The sequence below is a fragment of the Homo sapiens genome, chromosome 11 (genome assembly GCF_000001405.40).
Source record: "Homo sapiens chromosome 11, GRCh38.p14 Primary Assembly".
NCBI lineage: Eukaryota > Metazoa > Chordata > Mammalia > Primates > Hominidae > Homo > Homo sapiens.
In genome coordinates, this window is record NC_000011.10 from 110,345,626 (window position 1) to 110,371,257 (window position 25,632).

The window sequence follows — 25,632 nt, forward strand, 5'->3', positions numbered from 1 at the left end:
ATAGAACAGAAGAGGAGGTCTGAGTGGATAAACTGCTCCTTTCAACCAACCCTCCTATTTTCAGCCCAGTCTTATACCCCTGTCTTCAAAGGTGTTTTCTCAAAAAAAAATCTTATATTTGGTAACCTGAGATTTAGAAATACATGCATGTTATAACTATTACTTGGTGTGTAAAGAATTAACTTTGAGAGAAGCCATGAGAAGGAAATAGAATTTCCCCTTAGGTTGTTTTCTTGAGAGAGGAAACCAAAATGTGTCAGTGTTTCAAGAGCTGGTCCTGTACGTTTGAGTATGTTTCCTGTGCATGCTCACTGAATTAGGTAATAGTATTGATTTTAGGAAAGGTAAGAGCTAAGATTACTCATTTGTTCACATTAGGTCAGATTCTCCCTTTGCCTAACTTCCTGGAAGCGCATTCAATATCGTGAAAAACATGGCAATTTTTTCACAGATCATTAAGGAACATTTGGTAAATTACTGCTTTAGTGCATAAAATAGCCTGCACTATCCCAAAAGTTTTAATGTAGTTTTCCGGTGGTACGTAATTTGCTCTGAGTATGTGGATTGAAAATCTGGCTCAGTGAACAGAAAAGTAGACTGAGTAGCCACATGCCCAGTGGAATCATAATTAAAATTAGGCCAACCAGACACAGAGATGATTGGAATATACTCAGGAGGAAATAGGGACATTTGAAGAGGTCACAGGACTTCTGTCATGTTAAATACACTCCTGACAATGACAGAGGATAAAAATTGGCTTCCTGAGGAAAGGGAGAAACATAATTGAGAAACAAAAAAGAATAATGAACATTTCTCAGAATTCTGAGAAACAGGTTTTGGTGGCTTAGAGTTGGCTGCTATTTCTTCTTCTTCTTCTTCTTCTTCTTCTTCTTCTTCTTCTTCTTCTTCTTCTTCTTCTTCTTCTTCTCCTCCTCCTCCTCCTCTTCCTCCTCCTCCTCCTCCTTCTTCTTCTTTTCTTCTTTCTTCTTCTTCTTCCTCTTTCTTTTTTTTTTTTTAAACAGTCTTGCTCTGTCTCCCAGGCTGGAGTGCAGTGGCACAATCTCAGCTCACTGCAACCTCCACCTCCCAGGTTCAAGCTATTCTCCTGTCCCATCTTCCTGAAGAGCTGGGATTACATGCGCACCACCACACCTGCCTAATTTTTGTATTTTTAGTAAAGAGGGGTTTCCCCGTGTTGGCCATGGTCTCGAACTCCTGACCTCACATGATCCACCCATCTTGCCTTCTCAAAGTGCTGGGATTACAGGCGTGAGCCACCGCACCTGGCCTGAGTTGGCTTCTTTACTGCAACCTGTTTTATCAGCAAAACAGGTTTTGTGTCGACCTCCTATCTCATCCTGTGACTTCGAATGCTATTAATATGCAGTGTGTTTACCATGCAAATTATCATACCTAGGGAAAATGTTAGGAAATAGAAGAAGAACTTGGTCTGTGAGTGATTGAAGATTTTAACAAAAATGGAAACTGTGACATACAGCAATAGTACTGAACTCCTCCAAACCTTCATTATCCCTGAAGCTGCAAACCCTGGAAACTGCACTAAAGACTCTCGTGTGCTCGTGCACCTTCCTCCCACCCTTAGAACAGAAAAGGGAGAGGAGAGTCACACAGTCACAGCCAAAGGTAGAAAAGGGCCAATTGGCTGTTACTCTCATTTTGGCCTCACAGGCCTGGAAGCTGACTTGACCTTTCCCTCTTAAATGTTGGGTCTGAAAAATGGTTATATTTTACATGTTCTAGAAGACAGAATTAGCTCTCACTCTAAGTACTTGTGAATATAAGCTTTAGTTATTCAGGGTAAGGTAAACCTAGAGGATTATTTGTTCCATTTAAAGTCTATGCCTGAAAGTGTACTCATTCTCAATGTTATTGCCATCTCTGACACTGGCGATTCATTAGTTTAGTCTTCAGCATCCCTGAGTGCCTACTATGTGCTGGTTGGTCTCTGTGCCAAGGGTTGTAAAGGTAAATCTGGGTCAAGTGCAGTGGCTCATGTCTGTGATCTCAGCACTTTGGGAGGCCAAGGCAGGAGGATTGCTTGAGCCCGAAACTTCGAGACCAGCTTAGGCAACATAGTGAGACCCCATCTCTACCAAAAAAAAGAAAAAAAAAAAAGCCAGGAATGTTGTTTTGTGCCTGTAGTACTATTATAGGAAATGGGTCCAGATCCAGACCCCAAGAGAAGGTTCTTGAATCTTGCGCAAGAAAAAATTCAGGGCAAGTCCACAGTGCAAAGCAAAATCAAGTTTATTAAGAAAGTAAAGGAATAAAAGAATGGCTACTCTATAGATGGCAATATTCCCGAGAACTGCTGGTTGCCTGTTTTTATGGCTATTTCTTGATTATATGCTAAACAATGGGTGGATTATTCATGCCTCCCCTTTTTAGACCATATGGGGTAACATCCTGACATTGCCATGGCATTTGTAAACTGTCATGGTGCTGGTGGGAGTGTAGCAGTGAGGACAACCAGAGGTCACTCTCATCACCATCTTGGTTTTGGTGGGTTAGAGTTGGCTTCTTTTTTTGTTTGTTTGTTTGAGACAAAGTCTCGCTCTTTCACCCAGGCTGGAGTGCAATGGCACAATCTTGGCTCACTGCAACCTCTGCCTCCCGGGTTCAAGGAATTCTCCTGTCTCACCCTCCCAATGGCTGGGATTACAGGTGTGGGCCACCACGCCTGGCAATTTTTGTATTTTTAGTAGAAATGGGGTTTCACCACATCTGCCAGGCTGGTCTCAAACTCCTGACCTCAGGTGATCCACCTGCCTCAGCCTCTTAAAGTGCTGGGATTATAGGCATGAGCCACTGTGCCCTGCCTAAGAGTTGGCTTCTTTACTGCAACCTGTTTTATCAGAAAGATCTTTACGACCTGTATCTTGTGCCGACCTCTTGTCTCATTCTATGACTTAGAATGCCTTAACTGTCTGGGAATGCAGCCCAGTAGGTCTCAGCCTCATTTTACCTAGCTCCTATTCTAGATGGAGTTGCTATGGTTCAAATGCCTCTGACAGTACCAGCTGCCAAGCAGGCTGAGGCAGGAGAATCCCTTGTGCCCAGAAGTTTGAGGCTTCAGTGAGCAATGATCATGCTACAACACTCCAGCCTGGGTGACAGAGCAAGGCCTTGTTTCAAAAGTAAATAGGTAAATAAGTAAGAAGTCTGCTAAGCAGGGACAAACATGCAAACCTATAATGCCAATAAAGTATTATAGGTACTCTGACAGAAGTAAGGGGGAAGTGGTCAGTTCTGTTGGGCCTACACTGGTGAGGCTTCAGAGGGGACTGTCAGGGTGAATCTCAATTGGCAGTCAGTAAGCAGCCATGGAGGGAGAGGGTGGAGGAAGAGCTCATGGCGCAAGTGCACAGAGGTGGGAAACACCTGGTGAATTGAGGGACTACGAAAGAGAAAGAGTTGGAGAGTTCATTCCAAGGCCTAGGAGGCAGAGATGAAGGAGGCTGAAGAGAGAACAGGATAAAAAAACAGCAGATGTTATAGACTTCCTCTGCAGAGTTATCAGTGAACAAGAAGACATATATTCTCTGAAATGTGAACAGGCCTTGTGCTTAAAATGGGGCGATAGTGACAAGTCAAAATTAGTCAGTCTGCTTCCTGGGTTTCATAAGCCAAAATGCATTTGTGCTGTCTTTGAAATGACAAAAATGATTCTTTGCTCTCAACTTGGTGTTAAGCTAGTAGAGTTCTTTACTTCTTGGAGTGACCCAAACTTTCATTTCCAAGGAATCTGAGTCCTCAGCAGTCCTGCCTATGTCTTGTTACTAGCATCCTGGCTGGGGAGACTGAGGAAATGTATCTGGGGTCACCTCTCTTCTCCTATTATGCTGAAATAACTCTTTTTCTTTTATACTCAGAATTAATCACCCAGTCTATACCCAGACGTTCTTTTCTGTTTGCCAAAAAGTGGCAAAGTAAGAGTTTCACTTTCCTATTCAGTGAGCTCTTTAATATGTCCCTTGACTGAAACATTTTTTTTTTGTCCCTTTGGATTCTAAATCCTAAGGTCATTTCTCCTTCCAGGAAGGTGGATCATGAGATGTACTGCTTAGAGTTCTGCCCCTGGGAAGATTTTCCTTCTCAATTGTCTTTCAAGGCCGCCCCTAAGCGGGTGAAAGTTGCAACAATAGTCCTAATTGTGCTAGTGTCCTTAGACCAGGGAAGAGTCATCTGGAAACTAGTCTTGAACATTTTCTTCTTTAATCAGCAAGCCACAGGGAGTTTCCACAAGGCCGTATGTGTGGGCTGGGGTAGAATGGGTCTCCTCCAGCTCCAGGAGACAGTGCGCTCTGTCACGCCACAATCACTCACAGTGGGGAATTCCTCCCTCAAAGGTAGGGAATCTGATGCCTGAACAGCCAAGTGTCAGGCCTCAAGTCCTCCTTCACTTAAAAATTATATTTAAAAATTCATCTGAAAGTTTGTATTACTTTTTTGTTTCTTTGTTTTGAGACAGGGTCTGGCTCTGTCATGCAGGCTGGAGTTCAGAGGCACAATCTTGGCTCACGCAACCTCCGCCTCCTGGGTTCAAGCAATTCTCCTGTCTCAGCCTCCCGAGTAGCTGGGATTATAGGCACCAACCACCTCGCCTGGCTAATTTTTTGTATTTTTAGTAGAGACAGGGTTTCACCATGTTTGTCAGGCTGGTCTCGAACTCCTGGCCTCAAGTGACCTGCCCTCCTCAGCCTTCCAAAGTGCTAGGATTACAGGCATGAGCTACCACACCTGGCCTAACTTTGTAGTACTTTATAATTTCTTACAAATTTAAATCTTTATTCCATCTGGAAGTTCAAGGTAGGGACCAACTTTATTCATTTTCCAAATGACTAGCCTGTTGTCTGAATAATGTGTTTCTTTTCCCCACTTTATTATATAATCCAATCTCATTTGTATTTGGATCTGCTTCTGTTCTCACTATTTGGTTTTATTGATCATCTGTCCATTCCTGCAGCAGTATATCAGCAATAAATACTGCAGTTTAAATAACTGGCAAAGCTCTCCCTAATATTCTTCTGTGTTAGAATTTTCTTGGCTATTCGGGCATATTTTTATTTTCCAGACAAATTTTAATATTTTTTGCCAAGTTCCAAAAGAATTCCATTAGAATTTTGGAATTGTTATTGAGCTGTAAAAAATTTATAGATCAGTTTCAGAGAAAACTGACATATTTACAATGTGTGTCTTCCAAGCCAAGAATATGACATATCTTTTTATTTGTATGTGTTCTTTCTGGATGGACATTAATTCTGAGTGATATGAACTAGTTTCTTCTCCAGAGACATTTTCGTTACCACTCCTCCTATGGGAAGGAGGTTCTACAAAATGTAATCATTTCATTTTGGGCCACCAACATGTCTTGACTGTCAGTATAAACATATGAGTGTATTGCTGAAAACTGTGGTGTGATGATTAACTCTCCAAGATCCCTATACAGGGATTGTCAGTTGAAAAAACTACGTGGAAACCTTAAAACATCCAGAAACCACCAATATGTGTAATTTGCCTTTAAAGGATGTCATTTACTAAAAAACTGTCATTATTCCTAAGCAGGAATGGGGGCTGTAATGTTATGTTGGCCACATATTTGTGGCACATCTGAGAACTGTTTGTATAAATGCACTGGCTAGAAGCCCCATTCGCTGGTCCAAAACCCATTCTAACACTGACAACACAATAAAGAAGAATGGCACATGCCAAGTTATTTGACAAAACTTACCAAGGAGGTCACTGTGCTGGCTTTCCTTTTCTGTTGTGTACCCAGTGCCTAATACAAATCCTTGCATAGAGTTTGTGCTTAACTATTGAAGGAATGAATGGAGTCAGCAACAAGGATTAATATGCATGCTTTTTTTTTTTTTGAGATGTGAGTCTTGCTGTGTTGCCCAGGCTAGTCTCAAACTCCTGGGCTCAAGCAATCCTCCTGCCTCAGCCTCCCAAGTAGCTGGGACTACAGGTGCGTGCCACTGCACCTGGCTATATGCATGCTTTCTAGGGTAAAAAATTGAAGAGTGTAATTTGCTGCCATCCTAACTTATTACCGTCACCCTCTGGCATCATGGCAGTACTAAAAACTTCTAGATTGGCAGCTGGGACTGTTAAGCTCTCCTACCCTTGATTCACCAAATAACCATCTCCACGGTCAGCCTTTGTAGCTTGGTCAGTTCCTCCTAGCCCACCTTCCATTCCAGTAGTGGATGATCCCAAAGAGTAGGACTCCATTTTTCTTCCCACCAGCCACCTATTGCCAAAGATCCTTTGTGCCTTTACCCAGCCAAGTCACAAAACATTGAATAACCACACTGACATTTTGTTGTTGGCACTGGAATCAGAGACTACCATGTTATAATCTGAGATTTGGAATGATCACTCTAATGACAGATTTTGTCTGATCTCCTTCTCAGGGTGGTTGGGCTGGTGGGCTACAGTGAGTCTATCACGGCCAGACTGGGGCAGTGAAAATACTTGTTACCCACAGTTGCAGATATGAAGAATTTATGAACGAGAATGTTAGATCAGAGAGAATGCACAGAGTAAAAAAGAAGCATGTCCACCCAGGTAATCACAGAAAGAAGAGTCTCTAACCAGTATCAGGAGCTGGAATAGAAAGCCAAGGGATTGAAGACCAGAGAATATTGAATAGAGCCAAAATAGCTGCAGCCAAAAGCTGAGCTTTTATATATTATCATAGATCCATGACATGGGCAGCCTGAATTTATTTAAATGTCCTAGGATGTCCAGACATAATGGAGAATGAGGTAGGTATAAGTGTTAGGAGGCTATTGCACCTAAGTGAGAATTATTAAAAGAGTAGGGGGCTGGGCACAGTGACTGTAATTTCAAAATTTTGGGAGGCCAAGCAGAAGGATTGCTTAAGCTCAGGAGTTCAAGACCAGCCTGGGCAACAAAGTGAGACCACGTCTCTACAAAAAAATACAAAAAGTATGGCCAGGTGTGGCGGCATGTCCCTGTAATCCTAGCACTTTGGGAGGCCAAGGCGGGCAGATTGCCTGAGGTCAGGAGTTTGAGACCAGCCTGGGCAACATGGTGAAATCCCGTCTCTACTAAAATACAAAAAAAATTAGCAGGTGTGGCGGTGTGCATCCGTAGTCCCAGCTACTCTGGAGGCTGAGCAGGAGAATAGCTTGAACTGGGGAGGTGGAGGTTGCAATGAGCCGAGATTGCACCATTGCACTCCAGCCTGGGTGAGAGAATGGTACTCTGTCTCCAAAACAAAACAAAACAAAAAACAAAAAAACCCCACAAAAATTAGCCAAGCATGGTGGCATGTGCCTGTAGTTCCAGCCACATGGGAGGCTGAGGTGGGAGGTTCACCTGAGCTCAGGAGTTTGAGGCTGCAGTGAGCCAAATTCACACCATCACACTCCCGCCTGGACAGCATCACACTCCAGGCTTGTCTCTAAAATAAAAACATAAATAAATAAATAAAGAGTAAAAAGCGTAGCAGTTGCCGTGGGACCAGAGAGACCAGAAACATTCCAAAGCAATTTCAGAAATATAATTAATAGGAATGATGCCTGCATAGCCAAAAGTCATGAATTCTAGTTAGTTGAGGCAAAGAAGGTACAGATAAAAAAATTCAAATGTTAAGATCCAGTCTTTAAATATTGTGAAAATTTGGGATAGTACAATAATTACTTTCATGGATTATTTTAAACATTGTTTAAAATGCATTGTAGTTATTGTCCATGACAACTTTGTAAGATATCCTTTAGAATTACCTCCATTTTAACCAGGTGCGGTGGCTCACACCTGTAATCCCAGCACTTTGGGAGGCCGAGGCATGAAGATTGCTTGAGCTCAGGAGTTCGAGATTGGCCTGGGAAACTTTGCAAGACCTGTCTCTACTGAAAACGAAAAAACAAAAAAAACAGCCAGGCATGCTAGCACATGCCTGTAGTCCCAGCTACTTGGGAGGCTGAGGTGGGAGGATCGCTTGAGCCTGGGAGATTGAGGCCACATTGAACTGTCATCACCACCACTGCACTCCAACCTGGGTGACAGAGTGGGATCCTGTCTCAAACAAGCAAACAAAAAATAAGAATTACCTCCATTTTAACAACCCTGAGAGTGATTTACCCAGGGTCACATAGCAGCTTGGAGGCATGGCTGTGTAAAAGAAGTTGGGGCTTTTAATCTCTGTATTAGTTAGGATTCTCGAGAGGAACAAAACTAATAAGATAGATAGATAAACAGATGATAGATGATTGATTGATAGATAGATAGATAGATAGATAGATAGATAGATAGATAGATGATAGGAGATGTATTATGGGAATAGGCTTACAGAATTATGGAGGCTGAGAAGCCTCACAATATGTCATCTGCAAGCTGGAGAACCAGGGAAGCTAGTGATTTAATTCAGTGAGTCTGAAGGCCTGAGAACCAGGAGCTCCTATGTCTTACAGCATCAGGAGATGGTTGGCTCAACTCAAGCAGACAGTGAATTCACCTTTCCTCTGCCTTTTTGTTCTATCTGTGCCCTCAACAGACTGGATGAAAATAGATCTTCTTTACTCAGTCTACTAATTCAAATGCTGATTTCCTCCAGAAATGCCCTCACAGACACACCCAGAAATAATGTTTTACCAGCTATCTGGGCATCCTTTAGCTCAGTCAAGTTGACACATAAAATTAATCATTACGGGCTGGGCACAGTGGCTCACCCCTGTAATCCTAGCACTTTGGGAGGCTGAGGTGGGGGAATTGCTTGGGCCCAGGAGTTTGAGACCAGCCTGGGCAACATGGCAAAACCCCATCTCTGCAAAAAATACAAAAATTAGCCAGGTGCAGTGGCTCATGCCTGTAGTCCCAGCTACTCTGGAGGCTGAAGTGATAGGATCCATTGAGCCAGGGACATCGAGGCTGCAGTGAGCCGTGATTACACCACTGCACTCCAAATTGGGTGACAGAATCAGACTGGGTGACCGAATCAGTCTTTCATGGTCCAAACCCAACTCATTCTCTCTCTCTCTTTCTCTGTTGCTCTCTCTTTCCCTGACACAGATATTCACTTAGCATTTAAACGTGACTTCTGAGACTAAAGTGAAAGAGATTTGTCAGTTATCAATATGTTCTGATATTTTTCTGATATAGATAGTTTGATAAATAGATAAATGTATAAATATTGTTCAAGTGCTTTTGGAGCTAGTGAGTTGGCTGCATTGTTATGTCTGTTTCGGGAACTCTAGAATGATATGTAAAACCCTCTTCCCTCCCTTCTTTACTTTCTTCCTTCCTTCCTTCCTTCCTTCCTTCCTTCCTTCCTTCCTTCCTTCCTTCCTTTTATCCACATTTTTTTCAGCAAACATTTAAGAGTGCTAACGATGTGTCAGCTTATGCTTGGCTCCAAGAGATTCAAAAATAAAAATGTCAAGGTCTCCTAATCTCTAGGATAGGGAGAGTCAAATTTGCATGAGGACTTTTGAGAAAAATCAAGGATGCCTGAGGGGATTTGAGTCCTACAGGCTCAGCACTTATGAAAAAGGATAAAGTCCTTCCCAGCCTGGCAGGAGAAGGAAAAGCCTGTGGTGGGGGAAGGGAGTGAAGGCGTGTGCCTCCTCATGGAACACAGGGTCGGAGTCGGCTAGGAGGGATAAGAGTACAATAGAGGGTTGTGTGACACAGACAGGCTGCCAGCCCTCAGCATGGACCCGGCACATGGAATCTGTGATCTTAAAAGAGTCAAGTGACTACCTTTGGCAACCAAAAGAGACACTGCCTTTTAGAAGGCATATCATCTGAAACTGGCTGAAAGAGCTGTCTTACTTAGGAAGAAAAATCTCTCCTTTGGAAAGAGCTGGAACTTTTAGTAAAACTGAACAGTGAGGTGGCGGAAGGTGAGTTAATGTAGTGCTGGGTAGGGAGGTCGTGTGGGCAGGTGTAAAGAGCAGAGCCAGAAGACGTGGGTTTCAATTTTGCCTCCACATACTAGCTGAGCAGTCTTGAGCAAATAATTGCTATAATTGTTTCTGGGCTGTAAAATACCAAGTGAGAACAATGACTGGTCTCATTTATAGAATTATATGAATTACTTTTTAATTCTCATAACCAACTTATGAAATAATTCTCATTACTATTCCCTTTATTTATTTATTTAGAGACAGAGTCTCACTCTGTCACCCAGGCTAGAGTGCACACCTCACTGCAACCTCAACCTCCTGGGCTCAAGAGATCCTCCTGCCTGAGCGTCTCCCCCTCCCTACTCCCCAGTAGCTGGGATGTTAGGTGTGTGCCACCCACTCTTGGCTAATTTTAAATTTTTTTTAGAGTTGGGGGTCTCACTATGTTGCCCAGGCTGGTCTCGAACTCCTGGGCTCAAATGGTCCTCTGGCCTCAGCCTGCCAAAGTCCTGGGATTATAGGCATGAGCCACCACGCCCAGCCTACTATTCCCTTTATATATTGAGGACACTGAGGCTTCAGGAGGTTGAATATATTTTCAAAATTTACATAGCTAGTAAATGGCAGAGCTAGAATTGAACCCATGTTTGTTTGATTTTAAACACTGTGTTCTTTGCCATTTACATTCTTCTGCCCCGCTTCTAAGGATCTGTATTAGGGACTAAATTAAACCAAGTTATACTAAAATGTTGGTAATTAATTTGACTATTAAATGCCTAATTGTTCTAGTACTTAATCTTAGTTTCAGCCAGGCACAGTGGCTCACGCCTGTAATCCCAGCACTTTGGGAGGCCGAGGTGGGTAGATCACTTGAGGTCAGGAGTTCGAGACCAGCCTGGCTAACATGATGAAAACCCTGTCTCTACTAAAAATACAAAAGTTAGCCAGGCGTGGTGGTGGGTGCCTGTAGTCCCAGCTACTCGGGAGGCTGAGGCAGGAGAATCGCTTGAACCCAGGAGGCGGAGGTTGCAGTGAGCCGAGATCACACCACTGCACTCCAGCCTGGGCAACAGAGCGAGACTCCATCCCCCACAAAAAAAAAAAAAATCTTAGTTTCATTTAAAGAATAGATATGAGTGTGTATATTATTTTTTCAAGTGTTATTACTTTTTAATTTAAAAAGTTTTTCCTTTATTTTTACATTTTTGTTGTGTAATTCCTTTTTGAGGAAAGAAAAATCTTTTGAAAGTTATAAAAATGGTTAGAATGATTAGTGTAATCTTGTCAGGGCAGTATACACCTCAATTAACTAAGCTTATCCACAAATGGCCATTATTTTCTTGCTTCAGCAGTGACGTAGGAAAGGTCTGTATGCCTGGGAATGTGGAGATCTAGGTTTTAATCTAAGATCTGAGTTCATTGTCCTGTATTTATCTAAGGCCAGTCACCCTCTTTCGGCTGCTATTGCTTCATGTTTAAAACAAGGGGATTAGATGAAATGATTGGCAAAGTCCCTTGCAGCATTAATAGCCTATGAGTCTATAAAATTTTAGAAACAGACATAATTCAGAAGGATATAATTTTAAATCAATTTGTGTCACAACAGTAATAATAAACATAGTGGCTCTAAGCAAGTAACAGACTGAGAGAAAGAAACTATGAATTAGATAAGTTTGACTAGATAAGGTCTAAGTTCTTTCCAACTTTGAAATCCATGATCACATATTACAACACTGTAATTTTATAGTAGTTTGTAGGGTTTCAAAGAACTTTCATTCGATTTATCCTCTCTGATCCTCACAGGGACAATATGAAGCGGTGAGAAGAGTTGTTTTATCCACACTCTACAAATGAAGGAACTAAAGATTAAGTGGGTGGCATTGGGTCACTTGGCTAGTTGGGGACACAGCTGGGACAGCAAGGCTTTCTGACTCACACCCTGCCCTCTATGCCATAGCATTCCTGGGCTCAATAAACAGTAACTGTGAAAGAAGGTCGCCTCACACAAAACTACATTTTATTCTAGTTTGACAGATGAGTAATCCTCAGTGATAAATTCCTTTTCTGAAAAGTCTCAAAGTCCCTTGGGCAGTTTTGAGTCATTTGTAATGTCAAAAAGTTTAGGACAGACAGTATTTGCAACTTTCCTCAAATCCAAAAATCAGAAAAGCTGGGGAGAGGTTTTTACTTTTTCTTTCTTTCTCTTTTTTCTTTTTTTTTTGTAGACTAAGTCACAAGAAGGAAGGGTTTTACTTTTTCTTTTCAACTTAAAAAAGAGAGTAATTAATATCCTAAATTCTCTTTGTCCTAAGACACCTTTCCTAAGAACCATGAGCTTTTAGCTAAGTATGGAGGACGTTTAGTAGCCATGACTAAGCAACTCATCTTTCAGTTACAGAATAGCCTATGTTGGCCGGGCGCAGTGGCTCACCCTCCGTAATCTCAGCACTTTGGGAGGCCGAGGTGGGTGAATCACCTGAGGTCAGGAGTTCGAGACTAGCCTGGCCAACATGGTGAAACCCCGTCTCTACTAAAAATACAAAAATTAGCTGGGCATGGTGGTGGGCTCCTGTAGTCCCAGCTACATGGGAGGCTGAGTCAGGAGAATCACTTGAACCCAAGAGTTGGAGGTCGCAGTGAGCCGAGATGGTGCCATTGCACTCCAGCCTGGGTGATGAGCAAAACTCCCTCTCAATAAATAAATAAATAAATATTATTGTTATATTTGTGGAAAAGATAATTTGGCATCTTTTCACTCAATGAAAATATTTATTTAAATACTGTATACAAATCTATATATACTTACATATAATATAAATTTATACGTAAATATATATTATTGTTGTTATTTTATGTTATTTTATAGAAGTTATACATGCACATAATAAGAAAAAATCTTATCAGTAGAAAAAGAAGGGTGTAAAATGAATATGACCTCCATCCATTCCAGCCTAGGCCCATGCTCTAGAAACAAGCACTGTCATCGGCTATTGTTAGATGGTGTGGCGGTTGCCATTATAATTTAAAATTCCATGCTTACAGCTCTGTTTTTCCCTTTGTCAACTTTAGAAAGTACCTACTGACTTCAAAAAAGATGGGAAATTTCTTGTGTTTACACTTCCTCCCAATCTTTCTGTTCTTCTCCATCTCCAATTTGTGTTAGTTGTATTATAAAATTTTTAATTTTTTTTCTTTTTTTTTTTTTTGAGACAGAGTCTCTCTCTGTCACCCAGGCTGGAGTGCAATGGCATGATTTCAGCTCACTGCAAACTCCTCCTCTCTCCCCTGGGTTCAAGTAATTCTCCTGCCTCAGCCTCCTGAGTAGCTGGGATTACAGGAGCGTGCCACTATGCCCGGCTAATTTTTGTATTTTTAGTAGAGACGGAGTTTCACCATGTTGGTCAGGCTGGTCTCGAACCCCTGACCTCGTGATCCGCCCACCTGGGCCTCCCAAAGTGCTGGGATTACAGGCGTGAGCCACCACGCCCAGCCCTAATTTTTCTAAAAATTATATTTAAAATTATTATTTATAACTTTAAATAATGTACCTAAACTTCCATTTCTAAATTTATTTATTTAGACAGAGTCTTTTGATTCCCATTTATATAAGAGAGTCCACCTCTCAATTGTGTGTGTGTGTGTGTGTGTATATTCATGGTTTACTATGTTTACATTCTGCTCTGTAATTATAATTAAGTCTTCTGAGGATTAAAAATGAGAATCCTGAGTGGAAGTGATCCTTCACTCAGCACAGCGGTAGGCACATAGGTTTTCTATAATTGACTCGTATGGATAAACCCCATGTGGAAGAAAAAATAATCTTTTTTTTTTTTTTTGAGACCGAGACTCTCTCTGTAGCCCAGGCTGGAGTGCAGTGGCACGATCTCGGCTCACTGCAAGCTCCGTCTCCCGGGTTCATGCCATTCTCCTGCCTCAGCCTCCCGGGTAGCTGAGACTACAGGCGCCCACCACCATGCCCAGCTAATTTTTTTTGTATTTTTAGTAGAGACGGGGTTTTACTGTGTTAGCCAGGATGGTCTCGATCTCCTGACCTCGTGATCCACCCGCCTTGGCCTCCCAAAGTGCTGTAACTGCAGGCGTGAGCCATCATGCCCAGCCAAAAGTAATCTTATTTAATGGAAATTTTCCAGCTCAGATGAGATTCTTCTAAGCTTCAAGGTCTAATGGATCCTTGCTTCAAGGTCTAATGGATCCTTCCTTCAAGGTCTAATGGGTCCTTCCTTCCTTCTCTCCCTCTCTTCCTCCCTTTGAAGCTTCCTTTCTTTCTTTCCTCCTATTTTCCTTCTCTCCTCCTTCCCTCCCTCCTTTCCTCCCTCCTATTTTCCTTCCCTCCTCCCTCCTACTTTCCTTCCCTCCCTCCCTCCCTCCTACTTTCCTTCTTTGTCTTCTTTTCTGGTTTTCTCCATTTCCTGCGGGTTACATTCAAATGGTATGTTTCTTGTTTTCTTTCTTGGATGGCTTTTAATTTGCTAGTTTTGAACTGGACTCAAGCAATCCTCATGCCTCAACCTCCCAAGTTGCTGGGACTGCAGGTGCACCACCATGCCTGGCTTGTATTTTGTTGGAATACTTTGAATTTTTGTTTTGATTTGTATAAGAAGTAATATTCCGGAATTCCTGTCAGTTTAAATATGTCTTTATTTAGCCCTTACATTTGATTGATAGTTGGACCAGGCTTAGATTTCCAAGATTTATTTTTTTCCCTTCAAAACTTTGAAGGCTGTCTGCCAACAGAATGTAAGATTCATGAAGGCAAGATTTTTGTCTGTTTGATTCACTGATCACTGATGTCTCCCAAAGATATAGAACAATGTGTAGCACACGATACACTCAATATATATTAGTTTTATTAATTAATTATCTTCCAGTGATTAGTATTGCTGAAAAGAAATTGGATGACAATCCAGTTTCTAATTGGCATGTGTAGGCTGCTCTGTGACTGAAGAATTTTCAAATCAGCTTTATACCCTTCAGGAAAAATCCCTTGTGATTGGATGTTTAGTATCTGCCAGAAAACTGGTACTCAAGATGTTGAAGCTACAGTTATTTTATGATAGCACACTTCCCTTGATCTGCTTATTTTTATTCCATCACCATTTACCCCTTTTTTAAAATTTTGTAGCCATTCTTATGATGCTCTTGATTTGTTGGTTACAAAAATCAATTTTATTAAAATCCAAAGATTACAAGTCTTTAGGTATATTTTGTACCAAATTAAATTAGAAGACAAAAATTACGCTTTCATAGTTGCTACAAAGGTAAATAATGGAGAGATTTGGTACAAAGCAACAATATATATATATATAGAGCTAATAAAATTACCTGAGGAGTGTAATGTTTGTTTTTTTTTGTGTATATCTTTGAAATCTATTTTATATATAGACAAAAGAGACTGTGAAATATTTAAGCAATGCAGAATACGTGACCAGACCAGAGCATGTGTAGGAAGACTTTTTGGTGATCATTAACTCTACCCTGAAATGATGGACTACAAGTTATAATGTGTGTTACCTACACTTCAATCAGTAATATTAGCAAATCTCCAAATGTTAGTCACATTGGTTTGTCTCCCTTGTACATTCTTTATTCATGATATTACAGTGCTGTAACTGGGTGGTCCTTTTTAAACAAAACATTATTTGCAAAACAGAGGGTATTATTTGTTTTTAAAGGTTTTGTGAATAAAGACTTCAAAATATTTTCTTATAAAAAAAAGAAATTGGATGACAATCTTATTATTGTTTTCTTTCTTTTTTTTTTTTTTACCTTCTAGGGTTTTCTTCGTATTCTGAATTCTACAATTTTATCAGGATATCTTTTTTTTTTTTTTTTTTGAGACAGAGTCTCTCACTGTCGCCTAGGCTGGAATGTAGTGGCGTGATCTTGGCTCACTGCAACCTCTGCCTCCCGGGTCCAAGTGATTCTCCTGCCTCAGCCTCCTGAGTAGCTGGGATTAGAGGTGTGTGCCACCACACCCGGCTAATTTTTGTATTTTTAGTAGAGACAGGGTTTCACCATGTTGGCCAGGCTGGTCTCGAACACATGACCTTGTGATCTGCCCACCTTGGCCTCCCAAAGTGCTGGGATTACAGGTGTGAACGACTGCGCCCAGCCCTTTTTTTTTTTTAGACAGTCTCGCTCTGTTGCCCAGTTGGGGTGCAGTGGTGCAATGCCAGCTCACCGCAACCTCTACCTCCTGGGTTCAAGCAATTCTCCTGCCTCAGCCTCCTGAGTAGCTGGGATTACAGGATTACAGGATTACAGGTGCATGCTACTGAGTCTGGCCAATGTTTGTATTTTTAGTAGAGATGGGGTTTTGCCACGCTGGCCAGGCTAATCTCGAACTTTTGACCTCGGGTGATCTGCCCATCTTGGCTTCCCAAAGTGCCAGGATTACAGGTGTGAGCCACCACACCTGGCCTTACCAGGATATCTTTAGCTCTGTGTGTGTGTGTGTGTGTGTGTGTGTGTGTGTGTATGTGTGTGATGTGTATGCATATTTTTCCTCCCCTTGCTTAAAAATTGGTGAGATTTCAATCTAAAACCTTTTTTCTTTTCTTTTTTTGAGACCAAGTCTCGCTCTATCACCCAGGCTGGAGTGCAGTGGTGCGATCTCAGCTCACTGCAGCCTCCATCTCCTGGGTTCAAGCGATTCTTGTGCCTCATCCTCCTGAGTAGCTGGAACTATAGGCGTGTGCCACCACACCCAGTTAATTTTTGTGTTTTTAGTAGAGATGAGGTGTTGCCATGTTGGCCAGGCTGGTCTCGAACTCCTGGCCTCAAGTGATCTGCCCACCTCGGTGTCCCAAAGTTCTGGGATTACAGGCGAGAGACACCATGCCTGGTCCTAAAAACTCTTTAGCACAGGAAAATTTTATTTTCTGGATTATTTATTTTTCTCCACAGTCCTAAATACATTCTAAAACCACATTTTTATAGGTATTAGATTTCTCAGAGTTAACTTCTACATATTTTAATTTTCTCTCATATTTTCTGTCATTTTACTTTATCTTTCAGGTAATCAAATTGATCTTCGGTTGTGTCTGTATTATTGTTTAGTCATCCCTTTGAAACGTTTATTTTTAGTTCCTAATAACTCTTTTGTGTTCTCTGATTGCTACTTGTCATAGCAAACTGTAATTAAGATTGTAGTACGCTATAAATTCCTGATTATCCTAATTAGCATTGTTACTAGTATTGTTTTAAATACTAATTTTATTAATTTGTTAATTTAGGTGTTTGGAATATGATTGATTTCGTGTGTGTGTTAATTAGGTTTTTTTTTTTTTTAATTATTTTCCCCTGCTTGGATTATCTTTTTCCTTTGGGTCAGTTGTTTTGTTTTCTAAAGCTTTCACTTTTGTATTGTTTTTCCTGAGAAGTGTGGTGTTCTCTATTGTCTATTCATTTGAATGAATTCAGAACCAAACAAATGCCTTAATTTAGCACAACCAGCTTGTGTGGGTTTCCTCTTCAATTGTTTAGGTTTGTTTCTCCAGGAAGGTTTTCCCTGAATAGAATGACTGGCACGAGTTCTGTGTAAGTAGGCAGGACTTTTGGACAGGAAGGCTTCCCTGTAGGTTTCCTGTGGGCAGAGTAGGCAAGAAGGCTGGGGAACCTGAGCTTCCCCAGGAGGAGGTAGAGACGCATTTTGAGTTTGATTGTTTCCCCTCTGAGTTTATAAATGTAGAGATTCAAAGTTTCTTCAGTTATCTCCTTTTAAGCTACAAGACCCTCCGGAGGAACACTCTCTCTGCCCTTTCTTTCTAAAAAGCAGTGCCCTGGCTTGTAGCCCGAGGCCAAAAGTCTCAGCTGCCTAGCTTTGTTTACACAGGTCACAGGAAAGGGGCCCAGCTGTCCCAAGGCACTGAATCCAGTTCTTTAATGAGGCCACTGTTGATTGCCCGCACGGCCCATCATTGTATTGTTGACCAAGTGAGGAGTTTCTCTGGGCCCCCTTGGGAAGACACATACTTATTTCCTGTGCCCTGGCCTGCAGTTTCTCATCAGTTCATCCATCTGCTTTGTATCTTTTAGAAATTTCCCAAAACTCTTGTGTGCTGATGACACTCTTTCTTGTTTCCTATTGCTGTTATTCACTCATTTTCTTTAAAGAATATTTTCTGTCACTTTTATGGGAATGTGGAAGATAGAAGAGGTAAATACATGTGCTCATCCACCATTTTGTGTACAAGCGCACACACACAGTACACATACATGCACAAGCACACGCACACACACACGCAATACACATACACGTGAAAAGCAAATACAGTAATGCATCCAGTTAATCCTTTGGGGGAAAGGCAGATTCCTATTAATATAAATTATCAGAATACAATCACTAGATCTCTCAGTTGGTTCCAATGTTTTGCCCAGGTTATGCTTATTTTAAAAATTAATACTCAGCAATGTGTCAGAAATTACAGCTATGAAGTCTGAAAGTAAAAAAAATTACAGTGTCATTTTAGAATTATTTTACAAAATTATCTGTACCTGAAAAGGAAGACATGGTCACTGTTGCTAGTGTCTTCCCAGTCCCTTTACCTTGGGATTTTGACTTGAGTACCTCGGTTCCTCAGTGAATATGAGGGGCAGCTTGCCAAGGCATTGTTTTAGGCACAATTTTGTAAGAAGTGCTGCTGTTCAACTCTTATATCCTCTGGACACATAAATGCCATTTGGAGTCTCCTAATTCAAATTCCCATCCTTACAAATTCCTTAAAGAAGTGTTTAACTTAAGACAAAAACAACCACAGGCCAGGTGTGGTGGCTCACGCCTGAAATCCCAGCATTTTGGAAGGCCAAGCCATGAGGATTGCTTGAGTCCAGGAGTTTAAGACCAGCCTAGGCAACATAGTGAGATCCCATCTCTAAAAAAAAAAAAAAAAAAACCCAAAATTAGCCAGGTGTGGTAGTGCATGGCTGCTGCAGTCCCAGCTACTCAGGAGGCTGAGGTGGGAGGATTTTTGAGCCCAGGAGGTCAAGGCTGCAGTGAGCCAAGATGGCGACACTGCACACTGGCCTGGGCAACAGAGCGAGACCTTGTCTCAAAAAGGAAAAAAACAAAAACAAAAACAAAACAAACAAGAACAAAAAAACACAAACATTTTGATTGTAAGAAACAGAACCCAAAATGTGAAATGAGCAAGGTGCTCAAAGCTAGGAAATCTGAGGCCAGATCTGAGTTCTACTACTCACTAACCTGTGGTCTTGGGAAAAGGATTTACGTTTTCTAAACCTCCATTTTCTGAATTTTAAATTGAAGATAATAATAGTACCTACTTCATAGGATGGTTTTGAATATTAAGATAGTATACATAAGTCCCTTAGCACATTACCTGACACATAGTATGGGCCTCATTAGATATTAGCATTATCATTAATATCTGCAAATAATTCATATTTATATTACAGAGCAGTTATGGAATAAATATTCAATTCCTTCTTATTTTTATATTCATAAAATATAGAGAAATATTCCTTACTTCCTAGTTCCACCTGGATAGTATTATTTTGGCTTCTTTTTTTTTTTTTTTTTTTTTTTGAAATGGAATCTCCCTCTGTCGTCCAGGCTGGAGTGCAGTGGCACAATCTCGGCTCACTACAAGCTCTGCCTCCTGGGTTCACGCCGTTCTCCTGCCTCAGCCTCCCAAGTAGCTGGGACTACAGGCGCCCGCCACCACTCCTGGCTAATTTTTTTGTATTTTTAGTAGAGACGGGGTTTCACGGTGTTAACCAGGATGGTCTCAATCTCCTGCCCTCGTGATCCGCCGTCTCGGCCTCCCAGAGTGCTGGGATTACAGGCGTTCTGTTTTTTTACCCGGCCTGTTCTTTTTTTTTAGATAGTAAAATACACAAGACATAAAATTTACCATGTTAACTCTTTTTAAGTGTACAGTTCAGTGACATTAAAAATACTTTTGGGCCGGGCACAGGGTCTTGCTCTGCTGCCCAGGCTGGAGTGCAGTGGTGTGATCATGGCTCATTGCAGTCCTGACTTCCCAGGCTCAAGTGATCCTCCCACCTCAGCCTCCCAAATACCTGGGACTACAGACACATGCCACCACGCCTGGCTAATTTTTTGTAGAGATGGAGTTTCGCCATGTTGCCTGGGTTGGTCTCAAACTCCTGGTCTCAAGTGATCCACCTATCTTGCCCTCTCAAAGTGCTGGGATTAAAGGTGTGTCATTCTTTTTTAAGACTGAAGAATATTCCACTGCATGTGTACACCATGTTTTGTTTATCCACTTATCTGTCCATAGGCACTTGGGGTGCTTCAGCTCTTGGCCGTTATGAATAAGGCTGTTATGATACAGGTGTATAAATATTTGGTCAAGTCCCTGCTTCTTTTTTTCTTTTTTTTTTGAGACGGAGTCTCGCTCTGTTGCCCAGGCTGGAGTTCAGTGGCACGATCTCAGCTCACTGCAACCTCCGCCTCCCCAGCTCACACCATTTTCCTGCCTCAGCCTCCCGAGTAGCTGGGACTACAGGCTCCCACCACCAGGCCCGGCTAATTTTTTGTATTTTTTAGTAGAGACAGGGTTTCACCGAGTTGGCCAGGATGATCTCAATCTTCTGACCTCATGATCCACCCGCTTTGGCCTCCCAAAGTGCTGGGATTACAGGCGTGAGCCACCGTGCCCGGCCCCTGTTTCCATTTTTTGGGGTGTACACCCAGAGGGGGAATTGTTGCATCACAGGGCACTGGCATTTAAATTCTCACTCTTCTCATTTGGTGTCTCACACCAGTTTGCATTCCTGTTTGAGCGAATTTGTAAATCACATACCATATTTGTTTTCTTCTCTGTTTCACAGATAAATATGCTGAGGCATGTTTTCAAGGAGGGGAGAGAGATTCCTTTTCCTCAGCCGGGCACAGAGCCAACCTGAAGTGTAGCACTGTGGTGACCTGGCGGGATCTGCTCTCCAGTCACTCCCGAGGGCCCTTCTGGGGACAAGGAGACTTTTCTGTGCGGCCTGTTGATTTGAGTAGGTATAGCCTTTCTGCTAGCCACCAGACACAGCTCTATAAGAATTTACTCTCAACTATCCCATGAATAAGAAAACACTTAGGGAGGCTTTTACCTATCCATGAATAGTTACTTCTGTTCAACAGTCCTACAAATGTTTTCGAATGCCTGAAGTGTGCCAGACATGTACTAGGCAACAGGGTTAGAAAAGTGTGGGAAGCTTGGTCCCTGGCCTGGAGAACTTTAGTTCAGTGGGGAGCTTACAGATATTCCCCCCATACCTTTCAGAGCATGGATGTTTACAAAGTTGTCAAAGAGTATTTTGGTGTGCTTTGGCAATGGTGGATCTAGTGTTGTGGGCCTTCTAAAAATATGAAATGATGAATTCACAATTAGTTATAAGGTTTTGAAAGGGATTAATACAAATGGGTGGGGTGGGGTGGATGGGAGGAAGGTCCTGAAATAGTTTTATTAACTTGGTAGTAAATAATTTCTGGATTTGAGGAGTATTAAAAGGATCCTTCACTCCCAAACCTCTCCCTCGATAGTCATATAATGAGATGCCTAAAGTTTCTGTCATTATTTTCATTCCACAGTTAAGAAATCAAAGGGGTTGGTGATATTAGAAATACTTGAGAGCCAGATAAGACTGAAGCCCATACCACCTTCAATTATCCAGGGCTTAAGAAGCCTTTAATGGGTCAGGATTGCAGAATAAACAAGCTGTTAAAAGATACCATGTTCTGGCAGCTGCCTGTAATCCCAGCTACTTGGGAAGCTGAGGCAGGAGAATCACTTGAACCCAGGAGGTGGAGGTTGCAGTGAGCCGAGATCACGCCACCGCACTCCAGCCCGGGCAATAGCGCAAGACTCTGTCTCAACAAACAAACAAACAAAAACAAACAAACAAACAAAACCATGTTCATGGTAGAAAATTTGGAAAAGCAAAAAGAGCAAAACAAACTCACCTATTAATTGTTCTACTTCCCAGAGACAAACATTGCCAACATGTTGGTGAATATCCTTCCAGTCTGTTTTATATCCCTTGAATTGTAACTTGTTTTCTCTCATTTTCAATAACAATAGTCAGGAACATTTCTGGGCCATGCATTTTATAAATGTAGGTTCTAATATTTAAACATTTTTTTTCCTATGAAAAGGAAAAATAAGACAACCAAATATTATTGTTGAACTGATTCTAAAGGCTAGTCAGGTGGCTATTATAAAAAATAAATATGTAATTACTGCCACCTAAAGGAAAATTGTTAAACATACTGAAAAGATATTTTAAGATTATGTTTGATATATGAAGCTATTAAGGGGGCTAATTTTGTGTTTTTAAAAATTTTTCGTCTTTTAACAGGTTGCTTTTATCCTTCGTTTGAAAAATTATTCATTTGAATCAATAATTACTATATTATTCATGAATAATATTAATAGTGAATATTCATGTATTTATTATATAAGTAATATATTCACTAGCATAAAATTTTTAAGTGACAAAATTATATACAGTGAAGAGTAGGTCCCTGTATTACTTCATTTGTGTTGCTATACAAGAATACCTAAGGCTGGGTAATTTATAAAGAACAGAGGTTTATTTGGTTCATGGTTCTCAGGCTGTACATGAAGCATAGTGCTGGCATCTGCTTCTCGTGAGGCCTCAGGAAGCTTCCACTCATGAAAGAAGGCAAAGAGGGAGCTGGTATGTTACATGGCAAGAGAGAGAGCAGGAGAGAGAGATAGAGAGAGGAGGTGCCAATCTCCTTTAAACAACCAGCTCTCATGTGAATGAACAGAGCGTGAACGGAGCAAGAACTTCCTCATTACCATGAGGATGGCAAGGGGGATCTGCCCCCATGACCCAAACACCTCCCACCAGGTCCCACCTCCAACAGTGGGGAGTTCTCTCTCTCTCTCTCTGTCTCTGTCTCTCTCTCTCTCTCTTTCTTTCTTTCAACAGAGTCTCACTCTGTTGCCCAGGCTGAGTGCAGTGGCGTGATCTGGGCTCACTGCAACCTCAGCTTCCTGGGTTCAAGTGATTCTCCTGCCTCAGTCTCCCTAGTAGCTGGGATTACAGGCACCCGTAGTTCGCCTAGCTGATTTTTGTATTTTTAGTAGAAACAGAGTTTTACCATGTTGGTCAGGCTGGTCTCAAACTCCTGACCTTGTGATCCGCCCGCCTCGGCCTCCCAAAGTGCTGGGATTACAAACGTGAGCCACCGTGCCCGGCCCTGGGGAGCATATTCAACATGAGGTTTGGAGAGGGCAAACATCCAAACTACATCAATTCCCTATCTATCTCTGCCCTCTTAACCATAATTCCCCTCCACAAAGTCGATTGCTACAGGCAGTTTCTTGTGTATTTTTTCAGATAGTCTGTATATACATAAGACTCAATGTTTGTGAATGTGTATGTGTATATTGATACATGCATTAAAATACTCACAGGTGGTAGTATATGGACCCATTAGTCTCCACTTTGTTTCTGTTTGTGTATTTTGTCTTGTTTTATTTTCAGTATCCAGAGATCACGTCAGCATATATTGGGGATGGCTTTAAAACAAATGCGGGCTGGGCGCGGTGGCTTATGTCTGTAATCCCAGCACTTTGGGAGGCCAAGGCAGGTGGATCACTTGAGGTCAGGAGTTTGAGACCACCCTGACCTACATGGTGAAACCCCTTCTCTACTAAAAATACAAAAACTAGCTGGGCATGGTGGCTTGCGCCTGTAGTCCCAGCTACTTGGGAGGCTAAGGCAGGAGAATGGCTTGAACCCAGGAGGCAGAGGTTGCAGTGAGCCGAGATTGTGCCATTGCACTCCAGCCTGGGCAACAGAGCAATGCCTTGTCTCAAAAAAAAAAAAAAAAAATTAAAATAGGCTGGGTACGGTGGCTCACACCTGTAATTCCAGCACTTTCGGAGGCTGAGGCGGGTGGATGAATTGAGGTCAGGAGTTCGAGACCAGCCTGACCAACATGGTGAAACCCTGTCTCTACTAAAAATACAAATATTACCCAGGTGTGGTGGCACGTGCCTATAATCCCAGCTACTCGGGAGGCTGAGGCAGGAGATTTGCTTGAATTCTGGAGGCGGAGGTTGCAGTGAGCTGAGATCACATCTCTGCACTGGGCGACAGAGTGAGACTCCATCTCAAAAACACCCCACAAAAACTGTATTTCATTCAAACATAATCTGTTTTAGAGTCTCCAATTCATAGATATTTAAGTCATCTCTGTTTTTGCTATTTCTTATTCAATGATGGAAATCTTTGTACATAAATTGTTGTACATAAATCTTTGTACATAAATCTTTGCATATGTGTCAAAAATATGTATAGAGTATGATCCTAGGAAGGAAATTGTTGAAGCCTTTGATTTCTTATCCAACTCTAACCCTTCCTATTTCCCTCTCTTCATTTTTCCAATACAGTTATATAAATTGCTTACTTGTCCAGGCGCAGTGGCTCATGCCTGTAATCCCAGCACTTTGGGAGGCCGAGGTGGGCGGATCACGAGGTCAGGAGATCAAGACCATCCTGGCTAACGTGGTGAAACCCTGTCTCTACTAAAAATACAAAAATTAGCTGGGCATGGTGGCATGCACCTGTAGTCCCAGCCACCCAGGGGACTGAGGCAGGAGAATTGCTTGAACCCAGGAGGCGGAGGTTGCAGTGAGCCGAGATTGTGCCACTGCACTCCAGCCTGGGCAACAGAGTGAGACTCCATCTCAAAAAAAAAAAAAAAAACAACTTAGTTAAGCCAAAAGTCAGTGTTTACATTTTTGTCACTATTAAATATTATTCACCACTGAACCAAATAGGATCTTGTCATCATATCTTCTTTCTTGTATAACCTTCTGCTTTTTCTGACATTAGTAATTGCTAATCCCCTTCATCACTGGCCAAATTGCTTAGTTTTCTACATACAATTACTATTTTTTTCTGTTCAAAGGATACTGGAGATTTGGCAAACTTTTGGTAATCCTTTTCCTCCAAATTCCCAAACACATTAAATAATTATTAAAGGTTGGGCATGGTGGCTTATGCCTGTAATCCCAGCACATTGGGAGGCCAAGGCAAGAGGACTGCATGAAGCCAGGAGTTCTAGAGCAGCGTGGGCAACATAAGGAGACCCCTCTACAAAAAATAAAAGCAAAAATAAGTTGGGTGTGGTGGTATGTGCCTCTAGTCCTAGTTACCTGGGAGGCTGAGGTGGGGGGATCACTTGAGCCCATGAGTTCCAGCCCATAGCAGTGGGCTATGATTGTGCCACTGCACCTCAGCATGGGTTGACAGAGACCTTGTCTCTAAAAATATATTATTATTATAATAATAATTAACAGTTATGTTTTTCTCCCTAGATAGCTCCCTTTTGTTCTTTCACAGCCTTCTGCCTTTGGGATGGCTGCTTGCTAGGTGTAATAGATGTTTTATTAGCAAGATATTTTCTCTCAGAATTTTGAGGGCATTGCCCTGTTGTCTTCTGGCATTTTGTATTGCTATTGAAAAGGCTGATGCCAGTCAGATTGCTGATCCATAAGGCAATATGTGACCTGGTTTTTCATTCTGGAAGTTTTTAGTATCTTTTCTTTATTTCCAGTATTCTAAAATTTTAAAATTAATTGCCTTAGAGAGTGTGGCAGAGACGGGTATTAGACCATCAAAAAAATGTCCTTCTTCCTTGGTGCAGAGTGGTTTAGAGGAAGCCTGTGCCTGGCACTGCTCAGCATTTCCCAGCCCC

At 41.8% G+C, this 25,632-nt stretch overlaps 1 long non-coding RNA gene across 1 annotated transcript in view, besides 5 other annotated features; it reads left to right on the top strand.

The window, feature by feature from the left end:
• Positions 347-406: a silencer, noted in NCBI's record as "silent region_3890". NCBI's record gives its function as "represses an Ori minimal core promoter by ATAC-STARR-seq in GM12878 lymphoblastoid cells {active_cell/tissue: GM12878}" and the evidence as "EXISTENCE:reporter gene assay evidence [ECO:0000049][PMID:35858748]".
• Positions 3,292-3,341: an enhancer, noted in NCBI's record as "active region_5501". NCBI's record gives its function as "activates an Ori minimal core promoter by ATAC-STARR-seq in GM12878 lymphoblastoid cells {active_cell/tissue: GM12878}" and the evidence as "EXISTENCE:reporter gene assay evidence [ECO:0000049][PMID:35858748]".
• Positions 3,942-4,471: an enhancer, noted in NCBI's record as "active region_5502". NCBI's record gives its function as "activates an Ori minimal core promoter by ATAC-STARR-seq in GM12878 lymphoblastoid cells {active_cell/tissue: GM12878}" and the evidence as "EXISTENCE:reporter gene assay evidence [ECO:0000049][PMID:35858748]".
• The window catches only part of LINC02732 (long intergenic non-protein coding RNA 2732), a 51,795-nt gene continuing 35,651 nt past the window's right edge, over positions 9,489-25,632 (top strand). The window contains exons 1-2 of the long non-coding RNA NR_135100.2: positions 9,489-9,893; positions 20,736-20,909. This is a non-coding gene — a long non-coding RNA (long intergenic non-protein coding RNA 2732). The remainder of the gene's footprint in view (positions 9,894-20,735; positions 20,910-25,632) is intronic.
• Positions 17,279-17,573: a silencer, noted in NCBI's record as "tiled region #14338; K562 Repressive non-DNase unmatched - State 23:Low". NCBI's record gives its function as "represses a minimal TATA promoter and a strong SV40 promoter by Sharpr-MPRA in K562 cells {active_cell/tissue: K562}" and the evidence as "EXISTENCE:reporter gene assay evidence [ECO:0000049][PMID:27701403]".
• Positions 17,633-18,154: an enhancer, noted in NCBI's record as "OCT4-NANOG-H3K27ac hESC enhancer chr11:110233983-110234504 (GRCh37/hg19 assembly coordinates)". NCBI's record gives its function as "activates a minimal SCP1, AML or CMV promoter by ChIP-STARR-seq in primed H9 embryonic stem cells {active_cell/tissue: H9 hESC(primed)}" and the evidence as "EXISTENCE:reporter gene assay evidence [ECO:0000049][PMID:30033119]".